Source organism: Homo sapiens, chromosome 11 (genome assembly GCF_000001405.40).
Source record: "Homo sapiens chromosome 11, GRCh38.p14 Primary Assembly".
In the NCBI taxonomy this organism is placed as follows: Eukaryota; Metazoa; Chordata; class Mammalia; order Primates; family Hominidae; genus Homo; species Homo sapiens.
Window position 1 is genome coordinate 14,965,378 of NC_000011.10, and position 12,731 is coordinate 14,978,108.

Here is a 12,731-nt window from a genome sequence, read left to right on the forward strand (position 1 = left end):
TAGTGGGAGTGGAGTGCAATTTCAGAAAGAATGGTCAGGATAGGTGACATCTGAGAAATAACTGGAGGAGATGAGGGCCGTGGATGGAGGGTGTTCTTCACAGAGTACGAGTGGTGGTTGAGTGCTGGAAGACAGAAGTTGAGGAATAGTAAGAGGGCCAGTGTGCGGGAGAGTAGGAGATGAGGTCAGGCAGGTAATGGGGGTGGTGGTGAGAGGAGAGAAAGGGAAGATCAACTTGGCCTGCAATGCTTCAGGTGTTTGCTCATGAGATGGGGAGTCACTGGGATGTTTTGAGCATAGGAGAGACACGGTGTGATCTATCTTTTACAGTCACAGTGGGTTATTGTGTTGAATACAGACTGAAGGAGAGAAGGGGGCATAATTCTATATGGCCTGAGAAAATAGAGTCAGTGGGTAGAAGGAGCTGACTTTTCTAACCACTAGCTGACTAGTTAGCTAATAACTAACCCTAATTAGCTGACTACCACCAGTGAAACTGGCTGCCAACTCACTTTGGGAGTTACACTCAGCAGCTTGTCACTGGTGGTCCCAAAGGATGCTATGGTTGTTGATGCTGGGTAATTCCTACCTTGAATAAGGAAGGCATCAGACTCTATGACATTCTGGATTCCTTCCAATACTGAGAGTCCTTGATTCTATAGCATGTACCACCTCAATCTCCCCCACTAGAATGTAAGCCCATGAGCCCAGGGAGTTTTGTCTGCTCTGTTCAGTTCATTGCTCTATTCCTAGTGCCTAGAATAGTGCCTAGCATATAGCAGGCACTCAATAAGTATTTGTGAAGTATGTGAATGTCTCTGTTAAACCTATTGCTGGACCTTGAGCAAGACATTTCTCTGAACCTCACAGAATAAAAAAGTTGGGTTGAATGGCATTGATGACCTTTCTAGGTTGGCCAGTCTGTGATCCCCATTTTAGGCTCTGAGCCATCTAAAGCAGGCTAAGGGGTGCATGAAGAGCTTCTTATATGGAGGAAGGGCAGGGATGGGTAAAGGCAAACCTGCATGAAGGAGGAGTACATGGGTAACTTCTGAGGCTGGAGACCAGGGCACCCTCTGAAAATAAATATGAATTGTTCTCTTTGACATGCACAAGGCCCTAATTCCAATAGGGGATGCTTCACTAGAAACTGAGGGTACAAGACACTAGGGATCCATCCCAGGCATGTTGTCTTTGTGCTAAGTGAGTCAGATTGGTTGGTCAACAGAGTGCTTACAGGCCCCTGAAACTCTCCTGGGAAAAATAGCATAAATAGCAGCAGAGATTCCATTGAAGGGTATAGAAAATACATTTTTAATTTTGATAGAGTTCACAAATGACAGCATTGACATTTCTTTAAACAAATACTTCTGTCAAGGCACAGCATTACCATGTGTCCCCAGATGCCCAAGAGGCAGTGATTTCATGTCCCCCTGAGGTTTAGCAGAGCCACCAATGTCAATAGGGTGGCTGACGGGGCCTAGATTTGCTACCAGATAAGCCAATGAGACATGCTGTCAGATTTATGGTTACATAATCAAGTATTTAAAAAGATGCACAATAGGTAACTGCAATGAGCTTGTTCTGCATTTAGCAATAGTTCCTTTCAAACAAAGAAGATAGTTTTCAGTATCAAGAAGGATGCCTATATGTATGTCTTCCATGGAGCCTTTCCTACAAATTGCTTTCATTACACATTAAAAGGAGTTCAGCTTTATTGTGACCTAGGAGGAAGAAAATAACAGCTAGAATTTAGTTACTGGTTAATTGTCAGACTTAACATCTATTACCTCACTTGCTCTTTATAGTAATGCTTGGAGGTAGGTACTATTGTAGCCCTCAATTTACAGATGGAGAAACTGAGGCTTGGAGAGAGTTAAGTAACCTGTTCATGGTCATATAGCTGGTAAAGGGCAAATACAGTTCTTGAACTCAAGTCTGTACACTTAATTCAGAGGTACACAACATAGTAATGTATACTCTAAAATGATAGTGTCATTATCTTTCAAACTCAAAGGCTAGAATAATCAAAATTATAAATGTCAAACAGCAGTGTTCTAAATAAACAGGATCTGTATTTCTTGGTCTGATGATCTCAGGGTTACAAGGAGAGACTGAAAAAACAGAGATGAATCCAAATTCTAGGGTCTTAGCTACTGGAACTCAGATACTGGTGTGGGTACCTTCCCTTATGGATTTTTTAAAACCACATGGTCTCAGAGAGGCTCAGAGTGGTTTTACACCCCTGTAAAAACCAGTCATTCATCTTCCCATCCCATCATACAAGGGCAGTCACCTTCTTGAGTCATTCAGCTGCTCAGGCTTGAAGGTCCCTGCGGCGCCTGCCAAAGGCTTTGGAACCCACATTGGTGGGCACAAAGTTGTTCTTCACCACACCCCCTGATCTGCTCAGCAAGCCTGCCAGCCGATGAGTCACACAGGTGGCAGTGTCACAGGCTCTCTTCTGGGCAATGATTCTGATTTGCAGGATGGAGAAAGAAGAGAAGATCTGTGAGTGAGAGGCTGGGAGAGAGGTCAGCCCCATGGGACCTTCATGGTAAAGTTGCTGTGCTGAAAGGCACCAATTAACTTTAAGTGTTTCTCCTAAACACAATTATCAGAGCAGAAAATCACAAGGCCATTAGGGAAAATGCCATGATCACTCCCCATAGATATTCCCAGGGGTGTCAGAAAACCCAAGGTGACTCTGGATGACTGGCTATGGAATGTGGAGCAGTAACAGCCAATCTTTCCTGTATAAATTAACTAAAAATCAAAGCGGAGGTTTATGACACTGGAGTGAATTATGGTCCCACACCCAGCCCCATTCACAAAGGACTATAAAATCTACACCCCAGTCACGGGCACCAAATACCCTTTCTTAGGAAAATAAAAAATTCCTCAGTCTTACCTGGAAGAGGAGCGGAGTTTGCAGCATCAAGTCCTAGAGGTGCTTACCTGCTCCTTAGGACCCCTGTTCTTCCTGCTTGAGCTTGGTCAAAGGGACCACCCACCATATCCTCTGTCCAGCTAGCCTAGGGTTAAGGCTATTTCTAAGCATAGGTCTTAGACACTATGAAGCCTGGGACATAGATCAGAGCAATGACCACCACAGCTCAGATCTTTGGGGAAAAATAATTTTATTCCTCAAATGATCAGCACATTCAGAAGCAGGACAGAGGAGCTCTGATGACATCTCTGGGGGACTCAAAGCGGCCCTCATTTTCTGGTATTTTCCCAGGTGATTCTCTTCCAACCTGTGAGTCCTGCTCTCTTTCCTCCCATCTGAAGTTTGAGACATCCTCTGCCACAAGGAAAGCCACCAATACCAGCCCAAAGAGCCACCAGAGAGGAACCAAACCACATGCATCAAGTTATAGGAAGGATGCAAGAAGGGAAATTAGGAAGGAAAGGGAGGAGTTTAGTTGGCATTCTGGGGCATGCTAACATGAGGGCGATGGTCTCTCTCCAAGTCGCTGGACATATCCCTTTTCTTTCCAGGTGCTCCAACCCCAATTGCAGTTTGGGGGAACGTGTGAAACTTGTTGAAGTCCTGCGTGTATGTGCCCAGCATGCAAGTACTCAGATTACCGCACCGCTTAGATCTGGGGCTGTCCAGGCTGCAGGGAAAACACATACCAGACAGTACCATGCACCAGAATCTGTCCCCATGGGCAGTCACTTAGAAGGTTAGACCAGGCAGGGGACCCTGGGAGCAGGAGGGGCAGGCAGGAGGGCAGCTCACTTATCTATCCTTCATTAGGAGAGCTCAGAGGTGCAGTGGGCTAGGGCAATGCAGGGAAGGGCTGGATGGGGAAGGATGATCTTTTCTGGCATTCCACATGCTGTTCAGTCCTTCATGCTTGACAGAGGGGTTCTCAGGGCAGATGCAGGGGCAACACATGCCTCTGCCTGAGCAGTGCTGGGGCCAGGCCAGGGGCTGGTCTCTGCTCAGGCTCAAGGTACACAGGGATGTGGATCTGGGGAAGGGTGCTCTCCCTGGCCTCCTGACAACATGCACATCTCCACAGATGCCACACATTTAAAGGCTCAAACCTACCTCAGACACTGCTCTACCCATCCCCATCCCCTGCAAGGGCCTCACCTTCACCTTGCAAATGTGAAATGAAAGCTCCTTGCAGGTGTGAAAGAATGTCGTATGCAGATTAACAAGGTGGATCCAAATTTCTAAAACTTCCTGAGATGTACTATGTGTATCCCTGACTTCACCCTTACTAGTCTTAACTCATCCAGTGCTGGGAGGTCTCCCAGTACTGCAAGAACAATTCCCACAGTGAGCGATTCCACACCTCCCCATTTCATTTCCTAAGAACTTTCAGAAACGGAGCCTTTTGTTATGTCTAACCACGGTACCTCCAGCTGCAGTGGGACCTCTGTCTCCCTTGGAGGCTGAGAACAGCTGGGCCCCAGGTCCCGGTGAACAACACAGCCTGTTGGATTCCTGGCCAGTGTGTTCTCTCCTACCTCTCGGGATCCACCTTCCTGTGTATGCTGCGGGGAGAGGAGGCCCTGTGCTGAGCGCTTGGGGAGCCTCACCTGGAGCCCTCTCTCTCTTGCTCCTGCTCCAGCTCACTGGCCTTCATCTGCACATAGTCCTGCACCAGTGCAGCCAGCAGGAGGCGCGCTTCGTCCTCACTGAGCGTGGCCGGGTCTGCTGGGCTGCTCTCCAGGGCAGACCTGTGGAGGGGAAGCAAACTCAGTGCAGGCTGTGAGCCCCTGCCTGCCCCTCCCCAGGATAAGCAGCCAGGCTTCCTGGTCTTTGCTTCTTCCCCTGAGGATGTGGCCAGCGGGAGTCCTAGGGGACAGGGCACAAGGCCAGTGTCCTCCTCAGGACCCAGGCACTGGTGTGGCCTCTAAACAGTGGTGTGCTGGAGCCAGTTTGTATAGGCTTGTGAAAGCTAATGGTTAAATTTTCAAGAATTTTGCAAGCTGAGTGCAGCCATTATTAAAAATTAAATGCAAAAACTTACAGTTAGTGCTGAACCTGAAAATAGTTTCAGTTTAATAGATTTATATGTGGGTGAGAAATAGATCAACAGGTAAAATACCAGATTTAACAATAACAAATTTAGTGGCAAACTATTTAACAGAATAGGATGCAATTCATTTTTCAAATCATGGCTGAATAGGATAAATAGGATGGCTACACATACAAAAGTTTGGCTAAAAGCAACAAAAGCATTTTGTGAGACTCAGTGGGCTATATAAAATTTATAATAGGCCGGGCGCGGTGGCTCACGGCTGTAATCTCAGCACTTTGGGAGGCTGAGGCAGGTGGATCACCTGAGGTCAGGAGTTTGAGACCAGCCTGGCCAACATGGTGAAACCCTATCTCTACTAAAAATACAAAAATTAGCCGGGCATGGTGGTGGGCGCCTGTAATCCCGGCTACTTGGGAGGCTGAGGCAGGAGAATTGCTTGAACCCAGGAGATGGAAGTTGCAGTGAGCCGACACGGTGCCATTGCACTCCAGCATGGATGACAGAGTGAGACTCTGTCTCAAAAAAATTATAATGAAGAATATTGTCTAAATATTTATCACTACTTATAAATTGTGTACCACACATTTTTATATCAAAAAATTATATATGTGCATGAGTACATACCTTACCCCGGCCCCCTGTCGGTTTTTAAGCATTCAGTACACCACACTTAAGAGGCATGGAATTGTCTGATACCAGTGTGGTTCTGGCTTCAGGCTGTCTTACCTGAATGGTGCTGCATGGAGGCTGCCTGCCTGCAACAGGACCAAGATGCTGAGAGCCAGGAAGGGGGAGAACTTTTGGAAGCCCATGACACCTCTCTGCAAGGGAAGAATGAGATAAACCACCTGCGCCAGTTCGAAGTTCTAGGAGCCCACAGACCTTGGCTCCTATCCTGGTTTTCTGTCTTGCTTCTAACGCTCTGGCTTTGTGGCTTCAGACTGGTCATTATATTTCTCTTCTTTTTTGTTTCCTCATCAGCACAGTGGACTTCTGGGAGGTTCAGTGGGCCTGTAGCATGCACAGTCTGATAGAGCTGGAGGAGCGATCCTAGAGGGAGAGCTGAGTGGGGGAGGTCTCAGTCCTACCCTTCTCCCCAAAGCCACACAGATACATATAAACCTGTTAGCCAGGTCTCTGTGGAGGACATGCTCCCAGGCCCCTGTCACAGAAGCTGATCCCATAAGGAAACCCAGAGCTGTCCTCCTCTTCTGGGGCTTTTGCATACACCTTGGTGGGAGGGGTGGGATCTATCCACAGAGATTATCTCTGCAATTGGAATCTGAGAAATAAAAGAATCAATTTTAGTGCTCAGCCTAAGCTCCGCCTGCTGGCACCTCAGTCCCCTGCAGGAACCAAGTTTTACTCTTAAATTGGGACCCAAGACTTTCTCTCTTTGCTCCCAGAGCCTGTGACTGGGGCTTGCAGTTTAGGGCTGCTTGTCCCTCAGTCGTCGTGCCTATTTGCCACCCATCCGCTCTGTTCCAGGTTCTGAACCAATTTCCCTGGGACTGCTGGGCTCCAGACGCCGTCCCTGATCGCACCGTCTGCGGAAAGTTTCTCTTGCCTCAGGCTCTGTGCGCGGTCCCTGGGGAGCCTGAGTGTCCCGAGACTGGCCTAAGCCTGTGTGCAGTGCGAGAGAGTAAGACTGGAGTCCGCAGCCGAGCAGGAAGAGCGAGCCGGGGGATTGAGACTGTCCGATCCAACCTAGGGCACGAGCCTGGTATAAATCGCGGACTAACAGAGACTATCTGATGAAGAGACTAACGGAGAGAGAGGGAGAGGAGGAAAGGGAGTGAGAAAATGACGAATGGAGGGAGAGGGAGGGAGAGACATATACCTGAGCCAGGATCTCGGGGCTCACCTGGCGGGAGGTGGCTTGGATCAGAGGCGGTGGCAGCGGCGGCGGCGGCGTCCAGCCAGAGCCCTGTGGAAGCGGCGGCGACACTTGGGCTGGGCAGTGTCTCTGATGCCTCCCAGCGCCAGCGACTGCTCTTATTCCCGCCGCTGTGGGTCGGGAAAGTTCCGCCAGTGCACAGCAACCAATGGGCGGAGGGGTCCTTTGCCCCTGGGTTGCGTCACCCTCATGCTTCCAGAACCTGGAGGATCCAGCAGGACCGTCCCACTTGTATTTGCATTGAGGTCATTGATGGAAATGGTGGGGGATGGTGGGGGCACCAACAAGTAACGCCCTTAAAGTGAGCGGGAATTTGAGGGCAGTTTGACGTCATGGTGAATTTCACCTCTCAGTCCGGCCTGGTTTTGAACCCTCGCCCCACTCCACCCCTGGTTTCACGATTTGGCGGAAAGGGTCCAGGATTGTAGGGACTCTTCCAACTCTGATCCCAGACCCCTGCCCAAGTGAGATTTTAAAGGTTAATGCCCCTAAGGGTGGGTTCTGGGCCCAAGAAATCTGACTCCAGTAGCTGGTATTACCCACAGAGGGCCAGGGCTCGTGGGAAACAAGAGACGGAGCTGGGAGCAAGAACTTTGTTAGACAGGAGTTCAATTACAGTTGGCCCAATTCCTGGTTGTGTGATCATGGGCAAGTAACTTCACAGAGGCTCAGTGTACTCATCTTTGAAATGGGGACCACAATCTCATCTTGAAGGAATATTGTGAGAAACAGCCCAGCGCCTGGGCCTCAGATAGGCAGGGATCTACAAGAGTTTCCTGGTCCGCACAGGGGATTCTGTAAGATCTCCATGGATACTTTCCGAATCTCCATCTCCCCGGACTGTCCCGGGGTACTCTTCAGATCCATTACATGTGTGAGGAGGGGGCCGATGACCTGCTGGGCCTGAGGGGTGAGTTGCAAGGTACAGATGCGGAAGCCTCCATCCAGACCTCTGGACCTCCCCCTTCCTACCCTGCCATCCATCACCTGCCTGAGCCGTTTGCACAGCTGCCCCTTTGCTTCCGGCTGCTGTTTGCCAAGATGTCCCAGAGACATTCTATTCCGGCCCCGTACCCCCACCCCCGCACTTCAGTCCTCTACTAAAGAGCAGGCAGGTGTGACAGTGCTGTGTGGTCCCTGCCTAGATCAAGCTCACACTCGCTTCCGGTCACACTCATTTACACACACCCAAACCCATTACTGTCTCCCAACATGTGCCCACTCTGAATCACAGACACTAAAAAACAGATACTGGCCAGAAGAGTATCCTGAGGTGTTCACTCAAACGTGTCCCAAGCCTGCCTCCGAGTCTCTCGGGCGGTCGCATCCACACACTCGCACGACGATGACCTGCTTGCATCAAACCTGCACACATCACGAACAGGCGCCCTCCATCACACCCAATTACGCGTGACCTCAACAGCTCTCACATCCCGCAGAACCGGGTTTCAGTTCCACTGTGCCTGAGCGTTCAGCTCAGCAGAGGTAGGGACTAAGGCGCTTGCCGCCCACAGCGTCCAGAGTGGCAAGAAAGAAGCTTTTCAGCGTCTCCACCATCTCCCGGTGGAACGCGCAGCGCGCGATCTGCTGCAGCCGGTCCGGGCGCTGCCTGTGCGGTGAGCGCAGCAGCGGCATCCCGGGGCTGTGGGCGGAGGCAAGGACTCTAGCTTGAGGTTCTTTGAGGCAGAGCAGAAATTAGCCCCTAGGTGTGCCGTCCGTGGCGCGAGTCACGGAACTCCAGGTACCCCGGGGTCGTGTCCGCACCTTTGTCCTCAGTCCCCAGAAGCGTCGAAATTTCTTAGCACGACACCCCTGCCTCGCGCTACATCTCTTCCCCCTAGGGGGTTGGTGGCCTCCGTGCTCAAAGGAGGCAGCGGGAACGCCTAACTTCTAAGATGCCCTTAATTGATCTCCTCCTTCTTAACTACAGCGAGGGAATAACAACTCGGGGCTGGGGACTGGGTATCTAAGACTCGCTCTCCGCAGGGTCCGCCGGCAGGGCGGCCACAGGACCCGGGACTGGAACTGGCCCGGGAGGACACCGGCGCGTGTCAGGCGCAGAGCGTGAAACAGGCAAGCTGCGCGCAGAGCAGGGCTTGGATGGCGGATCTTGGGCACAATGAGCCCCGGATCCTGAAGGAAGATAACCCCTGCTGAGACCCTGTCCGGAGCCTTGGAGCTTTTCAGCAGTTTAGGCTCGGATCTCCGGCCTGGGTTTTCGGTGCAGAGCTGCTTGAAGAGTTGCGAAGGCCGCAGTGCGGGCACTGAGTGGGGCGTAGTGCTTGGGCCTCTGCCACTGGGGCTGTAGCAGAAGGGTATTTGCGCTCAGCTACCACATACTTCAGCGGAAATGATTTTTTTCCAAGACCAGAGGTTTCTAACATAAGAACCTCCTGAAACCGTTTGTAAGTGTGTGTGTCTGTGATGTGTGTTTTCCTAAAGAGAGAGTTCATAGCTTTCGCCCGTGCCACGGTGACCGCAAAATGAAAGCCAGTAGACGCAGATTTTGTGGCCATGTCACTTTGAGGGGTCGGAATTCTACTCCTGACTGTGGTGTGTGTCTTCAGCCTTCAGAATAGACACGTACTCCCCACTATCAAATCTTTGGCAGCTACAAATCAAAGGCTGGTGCCGTGGGGCGCTAACCAGAGTCTGCGTCCAGAGGGCGCTAGTGTAGCCCCGAGCAGTTTCAAGACTGACTGTAAAAGTCTGTCTCTTTAGGACAGGAGGGACGGTCATTAACTCACCTCTCAAGCACTCCTTGAGTTTGTAGGAATTGCCTGGCTCCTTGCTGGGGGCCGAAAGTTTTTTTCGTTTTTGTTTGAAAATCATTTTCTCCAGCAATTAGCACCATGCCAGGCACCCTAGTAGACGATCCGCCAAAGTTAAATGAATGAAAATTCATTCTGGCAAATTCACCAGTTTCACAAGGTAGCTTGCAGAAAATTCGGACCTAGTTAGAGCGGCATTTCGCTTTGCTTTCCGAAATCCACAAACTATTCAGCCAGACTCCTCCCATTTTATTTGTCACAGCAAGTCGGTTCCCAGGTAGAAGTTTTCAGGAATGAGGCAGGGAAGTAAGGATTTCGTCTAGGGTTCTCTCTAAAGACTGAGATCTTCTGGTGCAAAATGCGAAGTCATTCTCTGAGCCCATCCCGGATTTACTGAGCGAGCGAAGGAAGGGTAGAGCTTCCCGTGAGCGGATCACTTAGATTTCATCCCGCTATTCCTGGAACTTCTCTGAGTTTCAGTACTAAACAGAGCATGGTCTAACGGAAGTCGCCAAGGAAAATGCTGATTTTAAAAAAATAGTCGCTTGACTATTTGACCCTTGATTTTTACTGTCTTACTTCCTAACTTAAAAATCTGGAAACCAGGGTCAGTTTTGAAACAATCTGATTTTGGAAAAAAACATTTTTACAACACTCCAATAAAGTCTAACTGTAATGTTTGTTCCCATTCGTTTAGACCAGATTCCTGTACCCTTTGCTTAAGAAATAAAAATAAACATGAAGTCTGGTTGAAAATTCTTACGTGAATTTCCACGTGATTAAAAAAGTCACACCTGAAGGCTTGAGTTCAGAGCTCAAGTTAAATTTATTACTGCTCTACAATTCCTTTATAATATGGACTCAACCACAAAATCTCAGCAGTAGCAACAGCACCACCAGCAACAGTAATACAACAGCCCACAACACATACATTTTCTTCAGCCTGGTAGAAACGTGGAGCTATCAAATTAACTGGAAAAAATCCCAACTGAAAATCGATTGCACTGTTTAAAGAAGGGCAGAAATCAAAGCTTTCCATCATCGTGTTTACTGAAGAACATGCCAAGAGAAGTAGTTGCTTCTGAATCATTTTCCTAAGACACTTTTAGACTGCAGTAAAGCTGCTTCTGGGGAAGGGAGTACAGAAATGGCTGCCAAAGAGACAGCGAGATTCACAATAACCAAGATACAGAAACAGCCTAAGTGTCCATTGATGAATGAATTATTAAAGAAAATGTGGTGTGTGTTTATCACACACACACAATGGAATATTAGTCAGCAGTATTATTCAGAAGAAGGAAATATTGTCATTTGTGCCAACATGGCTGAACCTGGGGAATATTATGACACACAAAATAAGTGAGGCACAGAAAGACACGTAATACATGATCTCACTTATATGTAGAATCTCAAAAAACAAGTCGAACTCAGTAACAAAGGTTAGAATGGTGATTATTTGGGGCTGCGGTTGGGGGTAAAAGAGAAATACTAGTTAAAGGATACAACCTTTCAGTTATAAGATGAGTAAGTTCTGGAGACCTAATATACAGCCTGGTGACTATAGTTAACATATGCTTGAAATTTGCAAAGAGAGTAGATCTCAAGAGCTCTAAGCGCACACACACACACACACACACAGGAAACTATGTGAGGTAATGATATGTTAATTAACTTGATTGTTGCAATCATTTCACAAAGTATACATGTATCAAAATATCATATTGTATACCTTAAAAATAAAAACCTTTAATATGGAAATAAAAGTGAAAAAAAAAAAGAGTGAGAGACAGCTGAAATTCCCCAGTGGGAATTTTGCTGAAGACTTTAGAAGAGGGGCATCTGTATAAATACTGAAGAGGATATCAATGTTTTACTAATAACCTAGATATAGAATTATCTAAAAGATGTTGCATGTGCAGTAAGTATGAAAAGTCATATAAATCATATTAAATTGAAACAAAGAAAAGATATTATAAATATTATAACTACCATCAACTAAGTTCCATCCGTGTGCCAGGCACTGTGTGTATATTATCTTTCTTACTCTCAACAGTTTAATAAGATAGATATTTTTATCTTTGTTGTATATGCAAGGGAATAGTAAGAGTATTTGGCTTGAATTAATTATATTTTCCAGGCTCCTTTTGAGGACCTGAAACATAGCTTATCTCTCTGCCATGTCAGGTAAGAGGTCTGGTCCCCTGGATCCAGGCACTGACTCAGAGGAAGATATGGGCATGTCTGCCTGCTTCAGGGCTAATGTGATTTGTAGTGAGAGACTCAATCAGCAGGCATAAATCATTTACAATTCCTGTACCAATATTTGGGAACATTGACAGTTTTGCAGCAGGAAAATAAACATTGGTGCCACCACTTAAGATAAGTAAATTGCTAAAGAATAAAACCCAAATCAGATTTATAATAATATTCATAAGATAAAATTTTAAAACACTTGAGTTCAAACAAACAAAAATCCAAATGACTTAACTTCCTATATTTAGCATCATGCATTACTTCATCTTGTCTGAAATTGTGGTTGATTTTATGGAGTGTTCTATTTTGCCAGTGGATATGGGGGTTGAGATGGGATGAGATAGGAGTTAGTAGAAACAGTGCTGGGAGTCAGGAGTTAGGGTTCTAATTCTCACCCCTAAGGGTATGGCTTTGAGAAAATCATTTGGGCCTCTGTTTCCACATCTGATATATGAACTTTTATGGGATCGAGGGATTCCTAAATTCCCTTTTAATTCTGACATTCTATGAACATGCTGTGAATTTTATGCTGCTTTACAGTACTTTCCTATAACACCTGCTATTTGGCTTCCTCCACTTACACTGGCAGGTACCATTGTCTTCTAAAAGAACAACTGAGGAGTTCAACATGAAGGAGGAAGGATATGTCATTCTTTGCAGTGACACAATCAGAAAAGGTACTGCTCCCCCACCTAAATATGAGGGATAAGTGATTTTCAGAAGAGACAGGAGAAGAAGGGACAAATGTCCTGGTCCTTGTCTCCTTGTCAACAAAAGATGTACTGGTACCCTTTGAAAGGGGACAGA

The 12,731-nt window shown here is 47.4% G+C and overlaps 1 protein-coding gene across 7 annotated transcripts, besides 3 other annotated features; it reads right to left on the reverse strand.

Annotated features, from left to right (window-relative positions):
- CALCA (calcitonin related polypeptide alpha) lies at positions 1,291-6,974 on the reverse strand. Of its 7 annotated transcripts, none has more exons than NR_125898.2 (6): positions 6,868-6,974; positions 5,730-5,824; positions 4,558-4,698; positions 3,449-3,620; positions 2,297-2,477; positions 1,291-1,724 (listed from the first exon to the last, which is right to left on the reverse strand). NR_125898.2 is itself a non-coding variant. In NM_001378950.1 (5 exons), exons 2-4 carry the CDS (start codon positions 5,813-5,815, stop codon positions 2,318-2,320), a joined length of 387 nt encoding a protein of 128 aa, NP_001365879.1. In that variant the 5' UTR covers positions 5,816-5,824; positions 6,868-6,974; the 3' UTR covers positions 1,291-1,724; positions 2,297-2,317. The 7 variants fall into 7 exon arrangements, 5 of the variants coding, with proteins under 5 accessions (NP_001365879.1, NP_001029125.1, NP_001365878.1 ...); NR_166196.1 differs by having other exon boundaries at positions 6,844-6,974; NM_001378950.1 differs by lacking the exon at positions 3,449-3,620.
- Positions 6,155-6,801: an enhancer, noted in NCBI's record as "H3K4me1 hESC enhancer chr11:14993078-14993724 (GRCh37/hg19 assembly coordinates)". NCBI's record gives its function as "activates a minimal SCP1, AML or CMV promoter by ChIP-STARR-seq in naive H9 embryonic stem cells {active_cell/tissue: H9 hESC(naive)}" and the evidence as "EXISTENCE:reporter gene assay evidence [ECO:0000049][PMID:30033119]".
- Positions 8,406-8,455: a silencer, noted in NCBI's record as "silent region_3175". NCBI's record gives its function as "represses an Ori minimal core promoter by ATAC-STARR-seq in GM12878 lymphoblastoid cells {active_cell/tissue: GM12878}" and the evidence as "EXISTENCE:reporter gene assay evidence [ECO:0000049][PMID:35858748]".
- Positions 9,418-9,947: an enhancer, noted in NCBI's record as "NANOG-H3K4me1 hESC enhancer chr11:14996341-14996870 (GRCh37/hg19 assembly coordinates)". NCBI's record gives its function as "activates a minimal SCP1, AML or CMV promoter by ChIP-STARR-seq in naive H9 embryonic stem cells {active_cell/tissue: H9 hESC(naive)}" and the evidence as "EXISTENCE:reporter gene assay evidence [ECO:0000049][PMID:30033119]".